This window comes from Homo sapiens, chromosome 6, assembly GCF_000001405.40.
Source record: "Homo sapiens chromosome 6, GRCh38.p14 Primary Assembly".
In the NCBI taxonomy this organism is placed as follows: domain Eukaryota; kingdom Metazoa; phylum Chordata; class Mammalia; order Primates; family Hominidae; genus Homo; species Homo sapiens.
Genome location: NC_000006.12, coordinates 16,275,237 through 16,298,220, shown reverse-complemented (window position 1 = coordinate 16,298,220; position 22,984 = coordinate 16,275,237). Strand labels below are relative to the sequence as shown.

Genomic DNA, 22,984 nt, shown 5'->3' with positions numbered 1-22,984 from the left:
GCACCCACCTCAACCCACCTCAACCCACCTCAAGACCTTCCAGCCTCAAGGTTACACAGAGGTGGGAGAACGCTTGGGGTTAAATTCATTTTCACTTAGCCAAGGAGGAACTATCTTCTTGGGAAGGTGTTTTGGACTCTCCTCTGATTATTTAGTTGAGGTCCTGACACATTATATAATAAATATGTGAAAGGACACACAGCAAACCAGAGCTGTGTAGGTGCAACTCAGGCTACAAGGGCTGCCCCAGGTCCTGTGGAGTAGCCCGGGCAAATGTGCCTGTGTGCTGTGGGCAAACTCGGCAAAGCAGTCTGCATCTCTGCCTTCCCTTTTTGTTTGTGTGAGATACTGATTGTTCTGACAAGTTTGGGGTCCAGTGGCTGTGTTACTTACCTCAGCTGGTGAAATCAATTAGGGGGAACCATACCTTCAGGTGCTGCAGCGGGGCAGGACTTGAAACCATCAAAAGCACTGCCAGAGCCCTCAGATGGAACGGCCAGAGTGGCCCAAGGCAAATGGCGTCGAGTTCACTGGCTGTCCTCCTCCTCCCCCAGCTCTGGCACAGGAAGCCCAGTGGGTCAGCAGCAAAGCTGCATGCTTCATCTCCAGGTCCTGTGGGACACCCGGTCCAAGGGACACTCTGGTGTGGGCTCCCCCAGCCCCACTCCTATCAGAGGCAGAGATGAACCTGCTAAGGCAAACGGTGACGGAGCCTTACAAGTTCTCTTTATGGGCCAGGCGCGGTGGCTCACACCTGTAATCCCAGCACTTTGGGAGGCTGAGGTGGGTGGATCACCCGAGCCCAGGAGTTTGAGACCAGCCTGGGTAACATGGCAAAAACCCATCTCTACTAAAAACATAAACATTAGCCAGACGTGGCGGGCACCTGTAATCCCGGCTACTCTGAAGGCTGAGGCACGAGAATCACTTGAACCTGGGAGGCGGAGGTTGCAGTGAGCCGAGATTGTGCCACTGCACTCTGCCTGGGTGACAGAGCAAGACTTGGTCTCAGGAAAAAAAAAAAAAAAAAAGACATTCTCTTTCTGAAGGCTCTGCTTCAAAATGGTCCTAACGAGTTTTTGATTTTGTAACTACTCAGTTACAAGCAGCTGGAAGACCACAGAGAGCAAGGCGGGGAGCCTGCAGCCAAGCCCCATGTCTTGCTCCACGTTAAATCGCCTCTTGGCCCTCCCGTCTCCAAAGTGCAGCCCTTGTGTTTCTACAGGTGCAAGAGTTATTCTTAATGGGCCGGGCACAGTGGCTCACACCTGTAATCCTAGCACTTTGGGGAGGTTGACGCAGGTGGATGGCTTGAGCCCTGGAGTTTGAGACCAGTCTGGGCAACATGGTGAGACCCTGTCTCTATAAAAAATACAAAAATTAGCTGGGCGTGGTAGCAGGTGTCTGTAGTCCCAGCTACTTGGGAGACTGAGGTCAGAGGATCACCTGAGCCCGGGAGGTCAAGGCTGTGGTGAGCTGTGATCCTGCCACTGCACTCCAGCCTGGGCAACAGAGACCCTGTCTCAAATTAAAAAAAAAAAAAAAAAAAAAAAAAAAAAACTCTTAATGGATTTAGTAGGGGAAAGTATTACAATGGAGACAATGCTGCTGGCTGGATCTCTAAACATAATCTTAAAGGACCAACAGTGGGCCTGTATTATCCCAGAGTGTGACAGCTCTGGTTGGACCCTTCTCATGCCATCGGTCACTGTGGACAATCAGGCCATTCATTCACCCTGGCACAGCAGCACCCTGTGGATCTTCTCTACTCCAGGGTCATTGCTTGCCTTTCCAAAGAAAACTGACTTGTGTATCTGCTCTTCAGCCTTATTAAAAAGCAAAGTAAAACAACCTGATCTGCATACGCTTTCCAGGCCTGGAACTCAATACTTCAAAGTTTAGCGGCCGGTCATCACTTCTTCTGCGTTCACTGTTTAAACAAGCATCCTGGTGGACTGCTGCAGGTCAGCTGCAGAGGCCAATTCTCCAAGACAATGTCATTGTTCCCAACCCGTTAACTGACCCTTATACAGTAGTGCCATGTGGTCCTTCCGAGAAAGGATTCACTGGCACACTGAGGGAATGGCTCTAACTCATGTCTCAAACCAATGCCTTTTAGGATGCCACTGATCAAAGCTTTGGCTCTTTTTCAGTGTGACTCCACCTGCTAATTTCTTGGGAGACAACCTTCCCATAAAACATCCTGTGGAATTTCAAATTAAGACAAGTTGGGACTGAGAAGGGGGAAAAAAAAGATGGAGGAAAACAAAACGAAATGAGAAGCCAGGACAGGGACAGCTTCCTAGAGGCAACAGCAAACTGGTAGCGACAGATGACTTGTCCCTGAAAAGCACATGTAATGAAACTCGGGGAAAACACATTGGCTCAACTTTGTGAGTATCAGCTGGGAAAACAATTCATGTTCATCTGTCCAGTTAATTGCTTTTGTTCTTTTGCAGCAACCAAAAGCTAGAGGTGAGGGATGCCAGTTACTTTGACTCCGGCCTGTCCACCCTTGGCCCCCGCACTGTCCTCCTCTCCTTGCCCCTCCTAAGGTGACTTGTCTGCTAATCGCCGGGAGAGGCTTGCCATCAGCCTGTCTAGGAAGGTAGCAAAACAAATCCCAAACCATTCAACTTGACTCCTGGAAATACAAACTCCAGCAACTCCATTAAGTCTTAAGATAATAGCATTATATTAAAGTGAAACCATCTTCTTTTAAAAAAGAAAGAAAAACAAAGAAAGGGAGAGAGAAAGAGAAAAAGAGAAAGGTGCAAGTGTTGGTTTGAACAATGAGGTTATGAGTTCTGGGCAGCAGGGCTCTGATGTTGGCCCAATCGGTGCCTTGCGTCTGGGCCCCGAGAAGGCAGGCGGGAGAGCCCCGAAGCCTCCAGGCAGCAGGAGACAGAAGAGAGGACACAGCATTCCACCATTCAGGAGCAGCCAGAAGCTCTGACGGAACAGACTTGGGGGGAGATGGGAAAAGCAGGTTTGGACGCTTCCACTCGAGCCAGACGCTGCTTTGTCCCCAGGGTTAGCTGAACACGGTGTTGTGCTGCTGGGTCACCCGGATGAATGTTGCCCTCCTGCTGAGCTCCTTGAGTTTGGCGGCCCCCACGTAGGTGCACGTGGACCTCAGTCCCCCGAGAATATCCAGGATAGTGTTTTCCACATCTCCTTTGTAAGGAACTTCCACAGTCTTACCCTCAGAGGCTCTGGAAGACGATAGAAGTTTTCTTTTTATCTAGTTTCCCGCCCCACCTTAAGAGCCCAATTAGAATTACTCCCAGCTCCAGCACTTTCTGTAGCCCCCAAGGCACTCAGAAAACCAGACCCCACCCTCTGACCCCATCCCCACATTTCTACCAAGTGCCAAGATGATCACCAGCATCTCAGATGAACACATTCCTCCCGCCCAAAGGGCACGGGCTCATTGCTGGCTGCCCTGCATGTTGCGGAGAGGAAAGTCCTGGTGAGCAGCGCTTGAAGGAGTCAGGGACCCATAACACCCTGCTTGGTGCCATTCTCTCCAGCAACGTGCTCCCCTCTGCTGCTAACAGAAACCACCTTTACCTTTCTATTCTACCTCAACATGCACACCAACTTCCCAACAACCAGGAGCCCAAAATGCCCCCAGAATGGCCCTGGCCGATTCCCCCCTGGAAACAGCCTCCTGTCCTCCTACGTCAACAACAGGAAAAGTCCAGAGCTTCACCTCCCGCCTGTCTGGTCTAAGATCAGAAATCAAGTGTCTTCAAGGGGGACGACCAGGACGAGGAGGACATAAAATGGATAGCGCAGGTCCTACCAGCTTACGTGGAAATCACCAGCAAGGTGATTTCATTGAAGTGGCTCTGTTTTGATAGCCTGCCTGTCTTTCTGCTTTGCTGGGTACACTGGCCACCCCCAGTTCGACTCCCTGTTCTCTTACAGGTCACTACACCTATCACCCTGCACATGTGTGGGTCCAAGCAAGGTGGAATCAGAGGAGAACCAAGACCTGTCTTAGCACCAGAGGCTTCCAGGCTTTGGATAGCAACGTTCACATTTTCAGAGGAGTATTTAGAAACTCAAGTCTGGCCTATGGCATGAACACTAAGCAACATTTCACTGTCCCCACTGAGCCCATGTCCCTCTCTTCACAAAGCCACCAGGTAACACTGCTTGATTGTTACTTGGGTAACACAGGTCATGTCCCCTCACTGCAAAATGGGGATGTGGTCCAGACACATGTATATATTACCAGAATATGTGTATATTACACATGTGTATATTACCAGATGTGTGTATTACCAGAAGGAAATCTGAAATCTAGGCAAAACTCTAGCTCTCATCTAAGGGCCATGCAAGTTCTAACAAGTACCCAAATTCTGGAACTTTCTGTAGCTGTTCTTTTCAGCTGGAAAAAGAGCATCTTTTTTTGAGATGGAGTTTTGCCTTTGTCACCCAGACTGGAGTGCAATGGTGCAATCTCAGCTCACTGCAACCTCTGCCTCCTGGGTTCAAGCAATTCTCCTGCCTCAGCCTCCTGAGTAGCTGGGATTACAGGTGCCTGCCACCACTCCCAGCTAATTTTAGTATTTTTAGTAGAGATGGGGTTTCACCATGTTGGCCAGGCTGGTCTCGAACTCCTGGCCTTAGGTGATCCACCTGCCTTGAAGAGCATCTCTTGACCAGACATTCATTATCTAGAATTTCAAAAGGGGCTTAACTCTTGGTTGCTGAACAGGCAGGACTACCCTTGGGTAAAATCCAGCTACTTAAACCATCAGCCGGTTTAGAGCCCCAAGCTCAGGAAGCCAGTCATTGGCCATACCCAGGATGGTTCAGGGCTCAGCACTCCGTGACCCCAGACAGGCGTCTGTACACTTGTGCCTGCAATTACTGACATTTCATTTTCGTAAGATATTTCCATGGCCTTCCTGGGGCTTCTTGGAAATTTCTAGATTCTCACTGTTGCTTCTCTGCTAAGTGGTGGTGTCGCCTTTTACAAATTCCTTTTTTGCTGATGCTTAAGTCTGCTCATCCGTAAAATGAAGGTACTTTGCCTCCCGGGCACAGCGTGAGAATGAAATAATGATTGGGAAAGAACCAGCAATGTGTACATAACTGTGCCATAAGTAATTTGTCAAAGTCGGGAAGCATTCTCATGACAAGATCATGGTCACGGGCTGAAAACTAAGAGAGAGAGAGAGAGAGAGAGACTCAGACAGAGGTAAGACAGGTGCAGCCGCAAGGCTCAGGCTGAAGCCTTTGGATTAAGGTTCTAATTTCCTCAGCAATTTCCTTCCCTGTTAAAGATTTGAATCCACTTTCAGAACTGAGTCTTGCTACTGCTGAATCTTTTTTTTTCTATTATACCTAAACCCTGCTGAAATTACAGAAGACGTTTTTTCTTTCAGCTCTTTGGTTTCTGTTTGTGCCATAGCCTGCTCTGGTCTTCTTGATTCTATAATTTTTTAAAGAACCCAAAACAGATGCAGCCACGAGGGTGAAAAAGGTACTCCAGGCAAAGCACCTAGCTGCTGCTCACCCATGAAAGCTCCACTTACATTCTGGCACAGAGGACACATGTGCAGGCCCTTGGATGATGACAACAGTTGCTGGTAAAGCACGAAGCTTCTTGAACATAGGTCCAGCTTAGTGCCTCCTCCTTACCCAACCATGCAACCTCCTCCTCTATCAGGGACCGCTTGGGGGAAAGAGGGCCTCGGGGGCTACCTGGAAGGAGTGAATCCCTCATTTCTGATTGGTGCAGTCCCCATCGATCTTTCCCATCCTGCTTTTCCCATACTATAATATCTTTATTGGGGTTCACCACCAAGAGAAAGAGACTTGAGGAGAATGAGAACTGAAGTAAGTCCGCTAGAACCCCACGGATGAATAGAACTCTGGTAGAATACACCCCACTCCCCCCAATCCCCCCACCTACAAATCTCAGTGGAGTTCTGAGATTTTGCTGCTAGCTTGGTATGAACCTTATATAATACATCTGAATCCCAGGTCCTCAAAATGACCCTCTGGGTGTGGAATGAGTGGTAGGAAATAAAGGGTGTCAGTCAGGGAGGGCTTAGGTTTCCACTCCAGCACCGGATAGAGTCTGAAAATTGGAGGGAGAAGCCTGAACTTTCCTGGAAAAAGGCAACCAGCCGATTCACAGGCAACTTCCCTCTGCAGATGGAGAACCTTTGCTCCTGTACCCATTTTGTATAGCTTGTCATCGGCGCTAACCCTGATGAGAGTAACAGTAGGCTCTATGGAGCAGGGTGAGGCAGCGAGTATACTGTCATCAGGTTCTTTTTTTTTTTTTTTGGCAGGGTATCACTCTGTTGCCCAGGCTGGAGCACAGTGGCACGATCATAGCTCACTGCAGCCTCCAACTCCTGGGCTTAAGCCATCTTCCTGCCTCAGCCTCCTGAGCTGCTGGGAGTACAGTCATGTGACACCACACCCAGCTAATTTTTAATTTTTTTGTAGAGACAGGGTCTTGCTATGTTGCCTAGGCTCATCTGGAACTCCCGGTCTCAAGCAGTCCTCCAACCTTGGCTGCTGGAAGCACTGGGATTACAAGCATGAGCCACTGTGCCTGGCCCCATCATCAGGTTCTTAAAACACACATGCAGACAGTTAAAATGGAAGGGAATCAGGAAAAGACCCAGGTGTCTTTGGAGACCATGGATTAAAAACATGCATCAGGAGCCAGGTGCGGTGGCTCATGCCTATAATCCCAGCACTTTGGGAGGTCGAGGTGGGTGGATCACTGGAAGTCAGGAGTTCGAGACCAGCCTGGCCAACATGACGAAACCCCATCTTTACTAAAAATACAAAAAATAGCTGGACATGATGGGGGGTACCTGTAATCCCAGTTATTCGGGAGGCTGAGGCAGGATAATCACTTGAACCCGGGAGGCAGAGGTTACAGTGAGCTGACATCACACCACTGCACTCCAGCCTGGGCGACAGAGCACGACTCCACCACAAAAAAATAAAAATAAAAAATAAAAAATAAACACACATCAGCAGAAGTAAGCCCCACTTCTACAGTGGATGACACAACTGAATGGCTGAAAATGCTGCTGTGTCGGCTCTCGGAGCCTGGAGGAAGGTGAGAAGCGGTATGAGCTGTATGCAGCATTCTTCAGGAAAGGCCTGGCCACCGTGCAGTGGTCTAGACCACACCTATGGCTTTCTGTGCAAGAGGAGAGCCATTCTTCAACTCAATCCTTTCAGCCTGAACTCTTCTCAAGCCAGAGATCTAAGCTTACAGGGATAGCTCAGCACAGGCTCTACTGGAAGGACAAGACAATAATTCCACCTACCCCCAGAGGTCTGAAGTATTCCCTTCAGGACTGGCACCCACTCACATATAACCCTGGTCACACTTCCAACCCATCACCAAACACTGCTGCTCTGTACTTGCTTTTGGGAACCCCAAACACTGCAAATGCTAACTGGATACAAATTAGGGGTCTTTAAAAAGAACCCCTTCCCACGGTACTTTAATATACACAGAGCTGCTATTCAGACCTGCTTCCATCCCATCTCCGTAAGAAAAGCAAGGCCAGGCCTCGAGGGTGCGCCCCGGGGTCACCTCCTCACCTGTACTCAGCAACTCCTCCTGCGTGCTTGTTCATGGCGGTGTCAGAGCTCATCCCGTAGAAGAGCTTGAGCTTCCGTCCGTTCCTCTCAAACACTTCTCCAGCACACTCCGTATGACCCGAAAACATTCCTCCCAGCATGACAAAATCTGCTCCAGCTCCTAAATGCCAACGGTGGGGATGAAAGCGAGTAGCAGAGAAAACAGCTCAGGGGAAAAGGCTCTCAAAAAATCCCAGTGCTTGCCCAGTTCACCTCCCTCCCCGCCCAGCTATAGTCAAGAGAAAGGCTGGACCTCTCTCGCCTGTCTCCTCCTGGAAAAAGGGAGAAGGCTTCCATGCAGGGAGAAAGGGCCATGGGACACTGCGAGAAACAAATGCAGCCTACTGAAGGCTAGTGTCCCATATACTGGACCATGCTGAATGGCTTTTAATGGCTAACTACGACCACCTTCCTCAGATCTAACTCTCTTAGAATCACAGAAACATTAAGATTGGGGAGTATTCTGCCAGGCACAGTGGCTCAGCCCTGTAATCCTAGCACTTTGGGAGGCTGAGGCAGGTGAATCACTTGAGATCAGGAGTTCAAGACCAGCCTGGCCAACATGATAAAACCCCATTTCTACTAAAAATACAAAAATTAGCCGGAAATCGCTTGAACCCCGGAGGTGGAGGTTGCAGTGAGCCGAGATCATGCCACTGCACTCCAACCTGGGCAACAGAGGGAGACTCCGTCTCACAAAAAAAAAAAAAAAAAAAAAAAAAAAAAAAAAAAAATTGGGCAGTATCTTAGAAAGCAAGTTACCTAATCTTGTACTTAATGCTATGACTCCTCTATGATACCCCCTCAGGTGTCTGGTCTGTACTTGAAGCTCTCCACACTCTGACACTCCCTGTGCTTATACATCAGGAAAAAGCCTCAGAACAGACTGAAGCTCCTACACTAGACAGCTTCAAGGAAAGAAGTCCCCGTGTTATGGAAGTCGTCTAAAACTCCACCCGCACCATGCTGCTGCACATTAGATTTCCAGAGTACATATTCTGCCAGACTAATCACCGAATGACAGCACATTTCCAGGACAGGCACAGGAGACAGAGGTACTGAAGCTGCCTGTCTTTGTGGGCTATGCTGGAACAGGCCCAGGGCTGGTTCTATGTTGATCCAAAGTGCACAGCACATGATAGACGCTGAATGATTAGCTGTCAAAAAAGTAAAAACGTGGGAAAAAAAGTTATCATTCCCCATTTTGTTCATGGATCACTGTGCAGTGGGATTCTTCATTGCCTATTAACTAAGGAACTGCTACTGTGTTCGGAACTGGTGGGTTCTTGGTCTCACTGACTTCAAGAATGAAGCCATAGACTCTCACTGTGAGTGTAACAGCTCTATAAGGTGGCGCGGCTGAGGCTTTTTCCTTCTGGTGGGGTTGGGGTCTGCGCTAGCTCAAAAATGAAGCTATAGACCTTCCCGGCAAATAGCACAGCTCATAAAAGCAGTGTGGGCCTAAAGACCGAGCAGCAACAGAATCTATTGCAAAGAGCGAAACAACAAATCACCCTCCCAAAGAAAAGGAGCCAGAAGGGTTTGCCACTGCTGGCTCCGGCAGCCTGCTTTTATTCTCTTATCTGGCCCCACCCATATCCTGCTGATTGGTAGAGTGAGTGGTCTGTTTTGTCAGGGCGCTGATTGGTGTGTTTACAATCCCTGAGCTAGACACAAAGGTTCTCCACGTCCCCACCAGATTAGCTAGATACAGAGTGTGGATTGGTGCATTCACAAAACCTGAGCTAGACACAGGATGCTGGTTGGTGTGTTTACAAACCTTGAGCTAGATACAGAGTGCCCATTGGTGTATTTACAATCCCTGAGTTAGACATAAAGGTTCTCCACGTCCCCACCAGACTGAGGAGCCCAGCTGGCTTCATCCAGTGGATCCGCACTGGGGCTGCAGATGGAGCTGCCCACCAGTCCCACGCCCTGCGCCTGCACTCCTCAGCCCTTGCATGGTTGACGGGACTGGGGGCCTTGGAGCAGGGGGCGGCGCTCATTAGGGAGGCTCCCGCCGCACAGGAGCCCGTGGAGGGGGCGGGGAAGCTCAGCCATGGCGGGCGGCAGGTCCCGAGCCCTGCCCCGCAGGGAGGCAGCTAAGGCCCAGCCAGAAATCCAGCGCAGCGCCAGTGGGCTGGCACTGCTGGAGGACCCAGCACACCCTCCGCAGCTGCTGGCCCGGGTGCTAAGCCTCTCATTGCCTGAGGCCGGCAGGGCCAGCCGGCCGCTCCGAGTGCAGGGCCTGCCAAGCCCACACCCACCCGGAACTCCAGCTGGCCCGCAAGCGCCTCGCGCATCCTCGGTTGCCACTCGCGCCTCTCCCTCCACACCTCCCTTCAAGCTGAGGGAGCCGGCTCCGGCCTTGGCCAGCTCAGAAAGGGGCTCCCAGAGTGCAGAGACGGGCTGAAGGGCTCCTCAAGTGCTGCCAAAGTGGGAGCCCAGGCAGAGGAGGCGTGGACAGCAAGCGAGGGCTGTGAGGGCTGTCACCTCTCACTACAGCCTCCCCTGAGTAAGCCCTACTGAGGGTTTACCTTTAGAACAGAACAAGACAGTAGCAGGGCGCAGATGTATTAAGTAATAGGATGAAGGAGGAGGGGAGCCTGGCAAATCCTAATCAGGAGGAGGAAACATAGGAACCCCTGAAAGTGGCCCTGATGCCTTCAATTTGGTCATTTAAACATTGGCAGAGCACTCTGAGGTTTTCATTGGCGTTACAGTTCAGCATGACAGAAAGGCGAGCTTTTCTAGCACTCAGGGAAGCAAAGCACAACGCAACCTTCCTAAGTGGCAGCAACCTCTTAAGACCCTCCCCTTTCAGGGTTCCTAACACGAATGCTGACTCCCTGGTCCTCCTGCCATGATTTTAAGGAGGCAGAGGATAACTGGTGTCCAGCCAGGATTCTTGACAATTCAGGAGCACAGCACCTCTGCGGCAGCTGCAAAGGAGCAGATGTCAACAGCAGGAACGCAGAGCACAGACCCACTAAAGAATGCTTTGAGGGGGTTCCCAACCATTTTCATTTCGGGACACCCTTGCATCCTTCCCTGACAAGGTCCCTCTCGCTCCACTGAGTCTCGGCACAGGTACGGCCGCACTGACTGAGAGACAGTGGAGGAGGGAATGGCACCCAAAGGAGACTGAGCTGAGTGTGGTCCAAAGGCCAGGAACTGTGATCTACAAGGCACTTCTCAACGACCAGTCACTTTAAAGTGTGTTTGGCTCTCCCTCTGTACAGAGAGCATGTGTGAGGCAACACAAAAGAGTCCAAGATGGACCACCACCTGTATTAAGTAGATTCAGCTCAAAAACCAATCATAAAAATGCCCTTGGCCAATGATCCTTACAATAAAGGGTAAGTGACAGCACTAGTTAGCAGAGGCTCTGTATTCTCCCTGTTCTGCCCCTGATTGTAGGGCTGTGACCTTGTCATTCCCTCCTACAGCCTCAGTCCCCTCAACTATAAAATAGGAAGCTGGAATCAGTGGAGGGTCTGTAGATTCCTCTCCACAGATAGGATCTATGATTAGGAGGAGGTTAAATACCATTTTTCATGACATCTTTGGGTTGCTATGAAACCTTGTTGCTAAGAACACTGCCCTGTGTTTTCCTTTGTCACTATCAGGGTTGTTGTCTGACCATTTATTTTTTAATTTTTATTTTTTATATTTTTTTGAGACAGGGTCACTCTGTCACCCAGGCTGGAGTGCAGTGGCGTGATCTTGGCTCACTGCAACTTCTGGCTCCCGGGTTCAAGCGATTCTCCCACCTTGGCCTCCTGAGTAGCTGGGATTACAGGCGTGCACCACCACACCCCGGTATTTTTTTTTGTATTTTTAGTAGAGATGGGGTATTGTCCAGGCTGGTCTCAAACTGCTGGTTTCAAGTGATCTGCCCACCTCGGCCTCCCAAAGTGCTGGGATTACAGGTGTGAGCCACCGCACCCAGCCTGAAAATTAAAAACAAAAACCAAAAAACAAAAAAACAGAATTCCTATGACATAAAGTTTCCTGCCACCATTTTTTTTTTTTCTGGCATCAGCAAAGGGCGGAGGCATGGGAGCTTCGTTTCTGCCTCCCGCCGGCACCCACAACGCCCATTTCACATTCTGGAGCCCACAGCCACGCGGCCAGCTCTGACTTCCAAATGCCATTTGCAGTTCTATGGCCAACACATGGCTCGGCAGCCGTACTTTACTGCTTGTGGTGTTGAGAGGCTGGAGCGTCTAGTGCTTTCCAGAGAAAAGCTCAGGACCTGCTGCCCTCCCACCACCGCTCCCCATCCCCAATCCCACGGGCTCACAGCAGGCACTGCTGCCCCCTAGCGGGAGGCAGGCTCCAGCCTCCAGGGAGAAACCGCTGCGGGATTCCTCCTGTCCCTTCCACGGGACTTCTCCAAGCTGGGTCCAAAAAACCCCCTCTGTAGTTGTTACACATCACACCTGGCACCATCCCCTTGGACAGGTCCCTTGAGCTTTCTCTTCCCTGGGATGAAAAGGCCGTGACTTCACCCACTCCTGGCTTGCAGGACGTCACCCCTAGATATCTCCTGGGGCATCTGTGACCTGCTCTGCCACGGTCCAGGATTTGGGCCAATTGGGGCTGAAACCCAGGGAGAGGAACCTCCAGGAGACCCAGAACTTCCCCACCAGGTCCCCCTCCTCATTCAGGTTGCCAGCTGGAGAGGTGTAGGGAGCTCCCTCCTTCCTTCCTTCCCTCCCTCTGCACCAGGGCCCGGCCTTACCAAAGGCTTTGGCGACATCCCCTGGACACGTACAGCCTCCATCCTTCACAGAGGAAAAAGCAAGGACAGGACATCATCAGCGGGAGCTCAGCCAGGCTGTCCCCTCCCCCCAGATGACCTAGTGACTGGGGGTTCAGACCCACCACAGCCCCCAGCAAGCCCACGGGCCCAAGTTCCCCTACCACGGCTGTTGTTGTCTGATCGAGTGTACTCCCCTCAATATTGCACCTTTCACTCCCCAGGCCCATCCAGGCTTCCTCTGTGGGTCAGAAGCTGGCACCACCCACTGCCCACCTGCCTGCCTGGGCTCAGACACTTCTGTTGCAGAGCAGGAGGCAGCAGGGGCTGTGAGCGGCAGAGGGGCTCAGCCCTCATCCCATGCCAGCCCCCTACATAACACACCCAGCCATTCCACTGTCCACACTCATTCTCACTCAGGAGTCACCTTTCCCTCTCTGCCTGGTGTGAGGTGAGATTTATTTAGTACAAGGGTTGAATTCTTGTAAGAGCCAAGAAAAGGACATTGAGTTAATCCTTTTATCTTTCCAGGTACCTCCATGTTTCCTATTCCTCATGTATGGTACAAAGTTACCTTAAAATCAAACATCTGTTTTTCCACCCACACTGCCCATGCAGACCACACTTGGGCTGGTTTAATGTGTAGCAGGGCCAGTCTGTTATCTTGGGCTGCCCAGCAAGGTTCAGCTGTTGGGGGTAATGTTTAAACTCCAGCTACACAGTACAAGTCTTCTAGGATGCAGAGCTAGCTGAATTTTCTTTTCTTTTCTGTTTTTTTTTTTTTGTTTTTTTTTTTTTTTGAGACAGTCTCACTCTTGTCGCCCAGGCTGGAGTGTAATGGCGTGATCTCGGCTCACTGCAACCTCTGCCTCCTGGGTTCAAGCAATTCTCCTGCCTCAGCCTCCTGAGTAGCTGGATTACAAGTGCCCACCACCAAGCCCAGCTAATTTTTGTACTTTTAGTAGAGACGGGATTTCGCCACGTTGGCCTGGCTGGTCTTGAGCTCCTGACCTCAGGTGATCCGCCCACCTCGGCCTCCCAAAGTGCTGGGATTACAGGCGTGCACCACCGCGCCCAGCCACTAGCTGCATTTTCTTACAAACACAAGACACCAAATGCCCAGGCTGCTACCTGCTATTCCTAATGTAGCCTGGGCGCAATTCAAGGGGCAAAAGGACAGCAACAGTACGCTGGAGCAGCAGCCAGACACACGGGGACAGTCACGAAAGCCATGGTGCAAGGGGAGACAGCAACAGTGTCAGGGCTCACGTGACAGTGACACAGCCCAAAGCTAAGTGTGGGTCTAGGAGAAACAGCAGGACCTCAGAGGGAAGCACCTGTCCGCAGAAGGTGGGACCCACTTTGGGAAGGAATAGAGAAAAGACAGGGTGCCCAGGCTACCCCGTGTTACAACCTGCAGGAAAGTGCACACACCTCTGGAGTTGGAGAGCAGGGAAATGGGATGACCCACCTTGTGAAGAACATCTCAAACTGAGAACATAGGGTCTCTGTGACTCAGTTCCCTTTCTCTATCTACCAGTGAGGCCTGTCACTCCAGGAGCTAGAACTCCAATACTATTTCACTACTTCTTTGCAGCTCTGATCAAAAGGTTAAGTGTGAAGGCTGGACCTTTTCTTTACAAACATTTACTGACCACAGTTATTTCCTCAATCAAATGTGTTATTCATACATGGCTTCTCTGACCCCCAGAGGGCCACAGAGCACTGAGGAATATTATTTCAGAGGTGGTCTTGCCGTATGTTATCTGGCCCAAACCCACTGTGTGAAGACAGGGACAGGGCTTGTGGCTCTATACCCCTTGTTAATGCTTCAAAATCCTGGCATATTTATTTATTTTACCTTTCAAAGGTACAACCTCAAAATGCCCTTCGCTTGCCCTGCCAATTAATTTTAAAGTGCTTTATCTCTTTATCAAAACCAGCTCTACACAGTGTTTCACACTTCTGGCCTCAAACACATTAAATAAACTCATGCTCCCATTAAAATAAGTCCTACACATGTATGACTTTTAAAAAAATCACTCTTTTGTTCACTCATTTGTGTCTCCTGTGGTGTCCTGAAAATTTCTTATTACTGTGGTCTGTGATGAGGCCTGAATCAGGAGCCCTGTGCCACTGGGACCCCAAGAAAATCAGCCTTTCTCTTCCCAGGATGGGCCAAGAGATCCACAGTTAATACAACTGTATGGCGTATTGCAAAGAGGAAATCATATTTATGGCGTCATCCGCTCACAGGGTGCTTTTGTATGTGCACTTGTGAAATGGTCAGCGTAGACCAAACAACTGTATATGGTTAATGGTTGTACATTTAACCAAGAGCAATCCAACTTCACATGATGCCTTAGGACAGACATGGCAGTCTACTTCCTGCTACTGTTTATATTTCCAAAAGTGTTCAAAGTGTCCTTTCATGTTCTCGGGAAGCAGTGTAGCTCCAGCAATCAAGACATACATGCATCTTCACACATAAACATTCATAGCTGCTGAAAGGTTGTTAAAAACAACAACATTTGGGCTTGTAATTTGTTTGTTCTGTGCAAGTATTCAAAGCAGTAATGTACAAGGAGTCCTTTTTTTGTTTTTCCAAAAGAGTTAACATTATATTTAAGTACAAATGGCATCACAGGACATGAAGGATAACTTGTGAACTGTCAGCCTGCCTCTTTTGCTTAAAAATACTTGCTCAGGCTACAGGCACAGTGGCTCACACCTGTAATCCCAGCACTTTGGGAGGCTGAGGCAGGCAGATCACCTAGGGTCAGGAGTTCAAGACCAGCCTGGCGAACATGGTGAAACCCTGTCTCTACTAAAACTACAGAAATTAGTTGGGTGTGGTGGCGTATGCCTATAATCCCAGCTACTCGGGAGGCTGAGGCAGGACTATCACTTAAACCTGGGAGACAGAGGTTGCAGTGAGCCGAGATCATGCCACTGCACTCCAGCATGGGTGACAAAGCAAGACTCTGTCTCAAAAAAAAAAAAGAAAAAAAAAATACTTGCTCACATTATGTTGAATACTGACAATGAAAAAACAAAAAGGAAAAAAGAAAAATACTTGCTTATTCCTAAAACAAAGGAAGGATGGTATGGCAAACATGGAGTAGGCAGAGAAAGGAGTTCAAATCAGTCACCTACTAAGAACCAGCAACTCTTTTGAACTTAAAAGTCATTTTTCCATTCAAACTCATGAACCTGAAGGAGATATTGCGTAGACGGCGGGGACGGTGGAAAGAGGCTCAGAAAGGTTAAGCAACTCTCCTAAGGTCACACAGCTATAAAAATGGAAAAACAAGTTTAGAACCAGTGGTTATCTTAAGATGATAGCATTACTGCTAATACTTATTTTCCTTTTTATGTTTATTTGCATTTCTAACTTTTCCTAGGTTAAACACATTTTGCTGGGAAAATTTTCCAGACTCAAAAAAAAAGATTAATTATTTGAATGAATTTGTTTAGGTATTTCTAAATAATGGTGTGATAACAAAAAATTAACTGGTCCCACCTTAATCTTCACCTATGCAGGAAGTATCCTGAATTTTTCCTCCCTCTGCCTCTCTGAAGCCCATGTGGGCCACAACAGAAACACGACTGAAGCCCAGCCTCTTGGGTATCAGTACATGCTCAACAGACACCATGTTGTGGCTTCCTTTGAACTTCAATGGCACCAGTGTGCTAATTCAGCAAATAAAGGGTAAAATGGGACAGCTGGAAGGAAATTGGACCAAGTGGCAGGATCCAAAACACCTGGTGGGTTTCTAGCAGGTTCAGGGCTACTGGCAAGTGACAGAAACGTGCCCGTGCCCTGTTAGACAAAGGGAGTGTGGGGGCAATGGCTGCTCTGAACCTCAAGACACTCAGCTGCTTACAAGGACTGAGCTGAGGGCAAAGGTCCAAATTCTACTAAGTCCATTCATTTGCTTTTCCAGCTAAATGGAACTCCTAACCCCATCTAGGAGACCTCTCAGCATTGACGTAAAAGGAAACTCGGAGGCCGGGCACGGTGGCTTACGCCTGTAATCCCAGCACTTTGGGAGGCTGAGGCGGGCGGATCATGAGGTCAGGAGTTCGAGACCAGCCTGGCCAGCATGGTGAAACCCTGCCTCTACTAAAAATACAAAAAAAAAATGGGCTGAGCGTGGTGGCGCGTGCCTGTAATCCCAGCTACTCGGGAGGCTGAGGCAGGAGAATCGCTTGAACCCGGGAGGCATTCTAGCAGGGAGCTGAGATCATGCCACTGCACTCCAGCCTGGGCGATACAGCAAGACTCCATCTCAAAAAAATAAAAAATAAATAAAATAAAAAAGTAAAAACTAAAAAGAAAAAAAAGAACCTCAGAGAACACAAGCAAGATCAGAAGTGCTACCTTCCTATTGCACCAGTGCCCCAGGCTTGGGATGTCATTGTCCCTAACTGTTAAATTCAGAGAAGTTGCTGCCTTGGGCACCAGCAGATGAGACCTGGTTCAGGAACACTCACCCCGCCAGCGTATGCTGAGCCTCTACTCTATAAGCCAGTGGGTCTCACACTTGAGAGGACATCAGAACTACCTGGAGGGCTCGTGTTTAAACAGGTTCCTGGGCCTCACCTGCAGAGTTCTGATTCTGTAGGTCACGTCGATGGTGGGGCCCAAGAATTTGTAACAAGTTCTCAGTTGATACTGCTGCTGCTGGTCTGGGCACCACGCTTAAGAGAACTGCTGAGATACACTATAAATTAGGTGGTGCTGTGTAAAGAGATGCTAAGTTGATTTCCAATCAGATTCACCTCTGGGGCACACAGAGCCTCCACCCCACCCTGCCTACCACCAATCTTTGGCCAAACAGCCCTGTAAACTAAGCAAGTTTGAAGTTTCTAGAAAGACATAAGGATCTCAGAATATGTTCAGAGTAAAACTTTATTAATCAGAACTCCACTACTTTGGAAATAGTGGTCATTCAACACTTACGATATAGGGTCCAAGTTTTGACTTGATGGAGATGCTCAATGGTTAACATTATTAGGTAATGGAGACAGGACTAATTACATATGGGGATTTTGGGGACTAACCTCTGAAAGAGCCAGTTCACTAGGATGGGGTCCCGGAATGTTGATTTGTAAAAGCCTCTCTGGTGATCCTCACGCAGCCAGACTCAGACAAGGCTGCACTCAGGATTTGAGAACCACTGACATACTGCGGAATGGTACTACTGCCTGGCCGCTCCCGTGAGTTGAATAACCTCTTAGCAAATGTAGACCGACAGTTCTATGTCAGCCTTTTACACACTAGTTGCTCAATAAATGGATATTAATTTGTTCACTGGGGCAAAGGGTATTGAGTGGAGAGTCTTAGAACTCTGTCATTAACCAATAAACCTTTGACCATTTATTTCAGATACTATCACAGTAGATGCTTAATAGAGACTTGCTGGATGAATGGATGGGTGGGTGAAAAATTTGGATGAGGCATTAGAAGGGGCCCAGGCAATCTGCACTGGACAGCGAGTGAAAGACCTTGATCCTAGCTTCAGTTGTTACCTGAGCACCATTCCCAAGACTTTCATCATCTATGGGCTAAAAGCTGCCAGGTCTCCAACTATGAACACAATGCCTCATGTGCAATTTCCCTTCTGATGCCCCTCAAGCACCTCAGAATCAACAGACACGTGCCATAGTGATCACCACACCAGCCCCGAACCTCTTCCTTTGCAGCCATCTTCCAGGTGAGCCAGCACATGAGCCAGCCACAGCCTTGCTCCTCCTTCTCCTTCTCCAGTGCCCCCCAAGCACCTACTCCATTGCCGACACTTGTTTAATTCTGCCTCCCAAATGTCAGTCAATTCTGGAGATGGCTCTCAAGCCTGCTGCAGAGCACAGTCACCTCCCCCTCCTGAATTACTAACGCGTCCCAGCTGGGCTCTCTTTTTTATTTTGCCCCTTTCAATCTGACCCAAGGCAGTGAGTTGGGCACTCTCCTACTCAGACCTCTGCAATAGCTCCCTAGTGCTCTTGGAGAAGTCCCATCCTTAAAGGTGGATCCCACAGCTCTTGTCCATACTTGCCCTCAAGCTTATCTCCTGCTGCCCCTCACGCCTGCCCCTCTCAGGTCACTCGCCCCAGATGCAGTGACTGAGATTTGGTTCCCCAGTGCTTTTCTGTTCCCTTCTTTCTTCTCATCTGAAAACTTCCTTTTCAACCATCAGCTCTCTCTATTACACTCCAGGAAACCTTCCCTGACCCTGAATATGGGATACGTGGCCTGTTATGGGTTGAACTGGGTCCCCCCAAAAACTCGCATGTTGCCATCCTAACCCCTAGCATCTCAGAATGTGACCTTATTTGGAAACAGGAACAATGGACACGTCATCAGTTAAGATGCGGACATCCTGGAGGAGGGTGGCCCCTGATCTGAAAGGACTAGTATCCTCAGGAAAAGGGGATGTTTGCACACAGAGACACACACACAGAGGACGCCACAAGCTAAGGAACCAGCAGAAGGTCACAGAGAGGCCTGCAACAGATCCTTCCCTGGGGCCCTGAGAGGGAGCATGCCCCCCCCAACACCCTGATGTTGGGCTTCTCGTCTCCAGAATGGTGAGACACTGAAATTGAAGCCCCCAGTCTGTGGGGCTTTATTACAACTGTTCTAGCAAGCTGTGGCCTGGCCTACCCTGTGCTCTGAAAGCTGCCTGCACATCCCTCATCAGATGGACCACCCACCTGCTTGTATGGCTTCTGCCTACTGGGCCTGCCACCCTCACTGTGGAATCCGTGGGCAGCAGGGCCTCTGTTTCTGCTGAATGTCAGCGCTGTGACCGCAGTGCCCAGCTCCCTCCCATGCCCACAGGATGCCCAGCCAGTGAAAGAAGAGCAGCGAGGGAGCAGGGGCCTCCCAAGACACCCCAGCCTCAGCCCCGGGTGGAGACTCACAGAGATGATGTGGCCCTTCAGGCCATGGGCAGAGTCGGCACACTCAATGACGGCACTCAGCTGGGGGTACCCCACTCCCGTCTTGGTGCGGGTGGTGCACACAGAACCTGCACAGAGAAAGAAGTTGTCCCCAAATAGATGGTTATACATGAGAAGACTGTGACATGAAATGCGTCCCCCTTACCTTTGCAGCCCTGCTTTAGGGACCAGGGTGAACCTCTGTGGCAGAGGAGATGTGGGGAACAGGCTGCCCCATCTGCACGATGGAGGTCACTGTAAACCACACCACCTGGTCATGCACCCCCTCCGGTCCTCATCACTGTCACTGGCTGATGTCCCAGACATCGCCTTCCCCTCTACCATGCACCTGTCACTGCCACTCCTCCCTGTGGCACTGGCTCCCATGCAATAGCCAGGCACTGACCTTTCCACACTTAAACACCCACTCCTTTCCACCTTTCTACAAATCTACACTCTGCTTTAAAGGACCTCTCAGAATCCTCCCACTGGCTCGTAGCTTCTTTACCTTCAACCTTTGTCAAATGACTCACCTCTCTTAAGCCTCACTGCCCGGCCTGTAAAATCCAAAGAGAAACACAACCTCCTGGGGTTGTGGCAGAGAACAAATGGCACAGGGAGGGATACCGCTTGGCCCAGGGCCTGGCCTGCAGCACGACACCCTCCATACCCTCACCTGCTCTCACTCAGCTCTGTGCTCCACAGGGCCCAGCTGTTTGTCCATCTCCCTCCTGGCTGCCCCACCTCAAGTCCCTTGCAGCCTAGCCCGAGGTTCACTTCCAGGCCAGGGCTCACACCAGCACCCTCCTGCCTGCCTGTCCCACGGTCAGCCCCAGTCCTGGTTGTTCTCCCAGTTAGGTCCAGGCCAAGTCGCACTCTGACCTCTTTATCATACCTCCCCTTATTCAAGCTTCCCGGTGCCGCCACAGCACCCCACTTTACCCAGATCAGCAGAATCAAGCTCCACCTGCTCCCCTCCCTCCCCACTGCTTCTCCAATGGGGCAAGTTTCTTCCCACCTTAGGGACTCTGTACACAATGTTCTCTCTCTTGGACACTCCCCTCTGTACCAGCCCGCCTAGCCAAACCCTTCTCATCTTTCCAGCTTCTTCTTAAATGTCACTGCCCCAGGGGAGTTGTTCATCACAGTTTCAAAAAGAGGCATTTCAATCAGGATCTGTGTGAGAATGTTAAGGGTCTGTCTTCTGTACTGGGTGGTCGGCTCCGTGGACATTCGCTGTTGTTATCAGGTGCTGAGAACAGAGCCTCATATACAATAAGGCACTATAAATAGTCACTGAAAGAATGTGTGGACTCAAGAATGAATGAGTCACCCACATCCCTGTCTCCACTGCCACTCACTCAGCCCCTCCCGGAGGTCTTGTGGTGTGCACGAGAGGGCGCTCTGGGGACAGGGTAAAGGTGGAAGTGAACTCCTCCCTCCCACCAGACCCGGGGGTGGGATGCTTTGAGGCGCAGCCTAATCTCCGGCTCCTGGCCGGCACCACCTTGTAGGATGCTAATTTCTGCCAGGGGTCTTTAGGGACAAGATCAGACAGAGAAGTATGTCTGTGTCCCCAGGCCTGGATTTAGCAGAGAAACCAGGAGAGACAGGGCAAGCCCCTCTCCTGCATCAGCTGTGGGGCAGAGTCCACAGAAGTCCTGTAGCTCCCTGTGTCCTGCTATGTGTCACTCACAGTCCTGGAGCCAAGAAGTCTCATTCCCACGAAGGCGCCTTCCCCCCGCCCTGCAACCAGACGTTGTGCACGGCAGAATAAAAGGTTTAACCCCCGGTTCAGCCTCAGCTTTTCTCCTCCTCTCCCATTGAATTGCTAGATCCGGGGGTGGGGGCCTCAGCTGCAGTAGGCCTGGGGTTCTGATAGTAGTGAGGGCTCTATAAAGGGTAGACCAATTGCCTTTCTTGGAAACAGCCAAGGAAGAAGCTTCAAATAACACACAGGCGGTTCTGATTAACACCTAGGTGAAAGAAGAAGTTGGTGCATACTTTCTCTTGACTAGAGGGGCAGGGAATCCGTTTCTGATGCTTTTTCCCAGTTCCCAGGAGTTGCTCAATAATGAATGAAATCTATCAATCAATAGACATCCAATAATGCTATCATTTAGATATGTAATATGCAATGTTTTTACCATAAAGAATGTGTGAGACTTAAATATGGTCTCCAAACAATTTAAAGAAGTAGCTCCCATGCATTGGGCTCAGAGAAAGCCCCTTATTCTCTTTAGTCACATCTGTCCTACACAGACAGCCAGAGGGGTGGGGAGATACAGTGAGAGCAGAAGGACAATACAGCTTCTGGGGAAATAGAATGCAGACACAGAGATGTGCAAGAAGAAAACAAGTGTAGTAAATGTTCGAGACCACATCTAGAAAAGCTTTGAGAGGGCCGGGTGTGGTGGCTCACACCTGGAATCCCAGCACGTTGGGAGGCCAAGGCGGGTGGATCACCTGAGGCCAGGAGTTCGAGACCAGCCTGGCCAACATGGTGAAACCCCGTCTCCACTAAAAGTACAAAAAATTAGCTGGGCATGGTGGTGCATGCCTGTAATCCCAGTTACTCAGGAGGCTGAGGCAGAAGAATCACTTGAACCTCTGAGGCGAAGGTTGCAGTGAGCTGAGATCACACCACTGCACTCCAGCCTGGGCAACAGAGCAAGACTGTCTCAAAAAAAATAAAGCTTTGAGAGCCAAGAAGCTTCTCACACACCTTCACATCCTGTACAGCACCCGCCCAACACAATGGTAGCCAGTGAACATTCAATACATATTTCCTTTTTTTTTTCTTGAGACAGGGTCTTGCTCTATCACCAAGACTGGAGTGCAGTAGTGCGATCTCAGCTTACTGCAACCTTCACCTCCCAGGATCAGCTGATCGTTCCACCCTAGCCTCCCAAGTAGCTGAGACTACAGGTGCATACCACTGTGCCTGACTACTTTTTAATTTTTATCTCCTATTTTTAGTAGAGACAGAGTTTCACCATGTTGCCCAGGCTGGTCTCAAACTCCTGGGCTCAAGCGATCCACCCACCTTGGCCTCCCAAAGTGCTGGGAGACCAGGCGTGAGCCACCACATCAGGCCCATATTTCTGATTAAACAGGTGACTAGTGAGTGTCCCTGCCTTTGGGACTAAAAAGAGTCTTCCTAATCTATTAGCCTATTTTGTTCTATTATCAGTCTGTCTATTACAGCCTGCCCTAAGAGGAGGCAGCCTGGAAAGGAAGAACGAGGCCTTATCCTTTCTTGCCTTTTCAATAATGGTAGATACTCAGTAAAGACCTCTTCCCATTTGCTCAGAATACATTATTAACTGGCTTAAATGAGTGGCAATATGAAAAACTTAACCTTGAAAATCTCCCTGTATGTTAAAAGCTTGGGTATTTTTACGAATCTACAGGGTTCTTCTTCCTAATATTCTCTTCATACACATCCAATTCCCTCAGGCTGATCACGGAGCCAAGTCACAGCTCAACAGCGTCTCCTGCGCCTCCCAGCTGTGCGTTTTCCCACAGATTCCTCTCATATTGGTTTAGGTTTGCTTCCTTTTTTGGTAGTGTCATTTGGGTATGAGATTCTTTTGAAAAATCTTTGCTGTTTTTCAGTCCCAAGTGAAAATGTGT

General features: G+C 49.7%; 1 protein-coding gene across 2 annotated transcripts in view, besides 2 other annotated features; it reads right to left on the bottom strand.

Moving 5' to 3' along the window:
• Window positions 2,672-22,984, bottom strand: part of GMPR (guanosine monophosphate reductase) — a 56,963-nt gene continuing 36,650 nt past the window's right edge. Inside the window, exons 6-9 of one of the 2 annotated variants that reach the window (NM_006877.4) lie at window positions 19,331-19,437; window positions 12,386-12,428; window positions 7,600-7,759; window positions 2,672-3,215 (exon numbers count right to left, since the gene is read on the bottom strand). In NM_006877.4, coding sequence (NP_006868.3) covers window positions 3,035-3,215; window positions 7,600-7,759; window positions 12,386-12,428; window positions 19,331-19,437 — 491 coding nt within the window. In that variant the 3' untranslated portion in view covers window positions 2,672-3,034. Of the gene's footprint in view, window positions 3,216-7,599; window positions 7,760-8,652; window positions 8,796-12,385; window positions 12,429-19,330; window positions 19,438-22,984 lie in introns of those variants that run through there. The other variant, XM_047418656.1, reaches the window with a different exon arrangement.
• Window positions 12,049-12,178: an enhancer, noted in NCBI's record as "active region_24099". NCBI's record gives its function as "activates an Ori minimal core promoter by ATAC-STARR-seq in GM12878 lymphoblastoid cells {active_cell/tissue: GM12878}" and the evidence as "EXISTENCE:reporter gene assay evidence [ECO:0000049][PMID:35858748]".
• Window positions 20,609-20,903: an enhancer, noted in NCBI's record as "tiled region #9524; HepG2 Activating non-DNase unmatched - State 12:CtcfO". NCBI's record gives its function as "activates a minimal TATA promoter and a strong SV40 promoter by Sharpr-MPRA in HepG2 cells {active_cell/tissue: HepG2}" and the evidence as "EXISTENCE:reporter gene assay evidence [ECO:0000049][PMID:27701403]".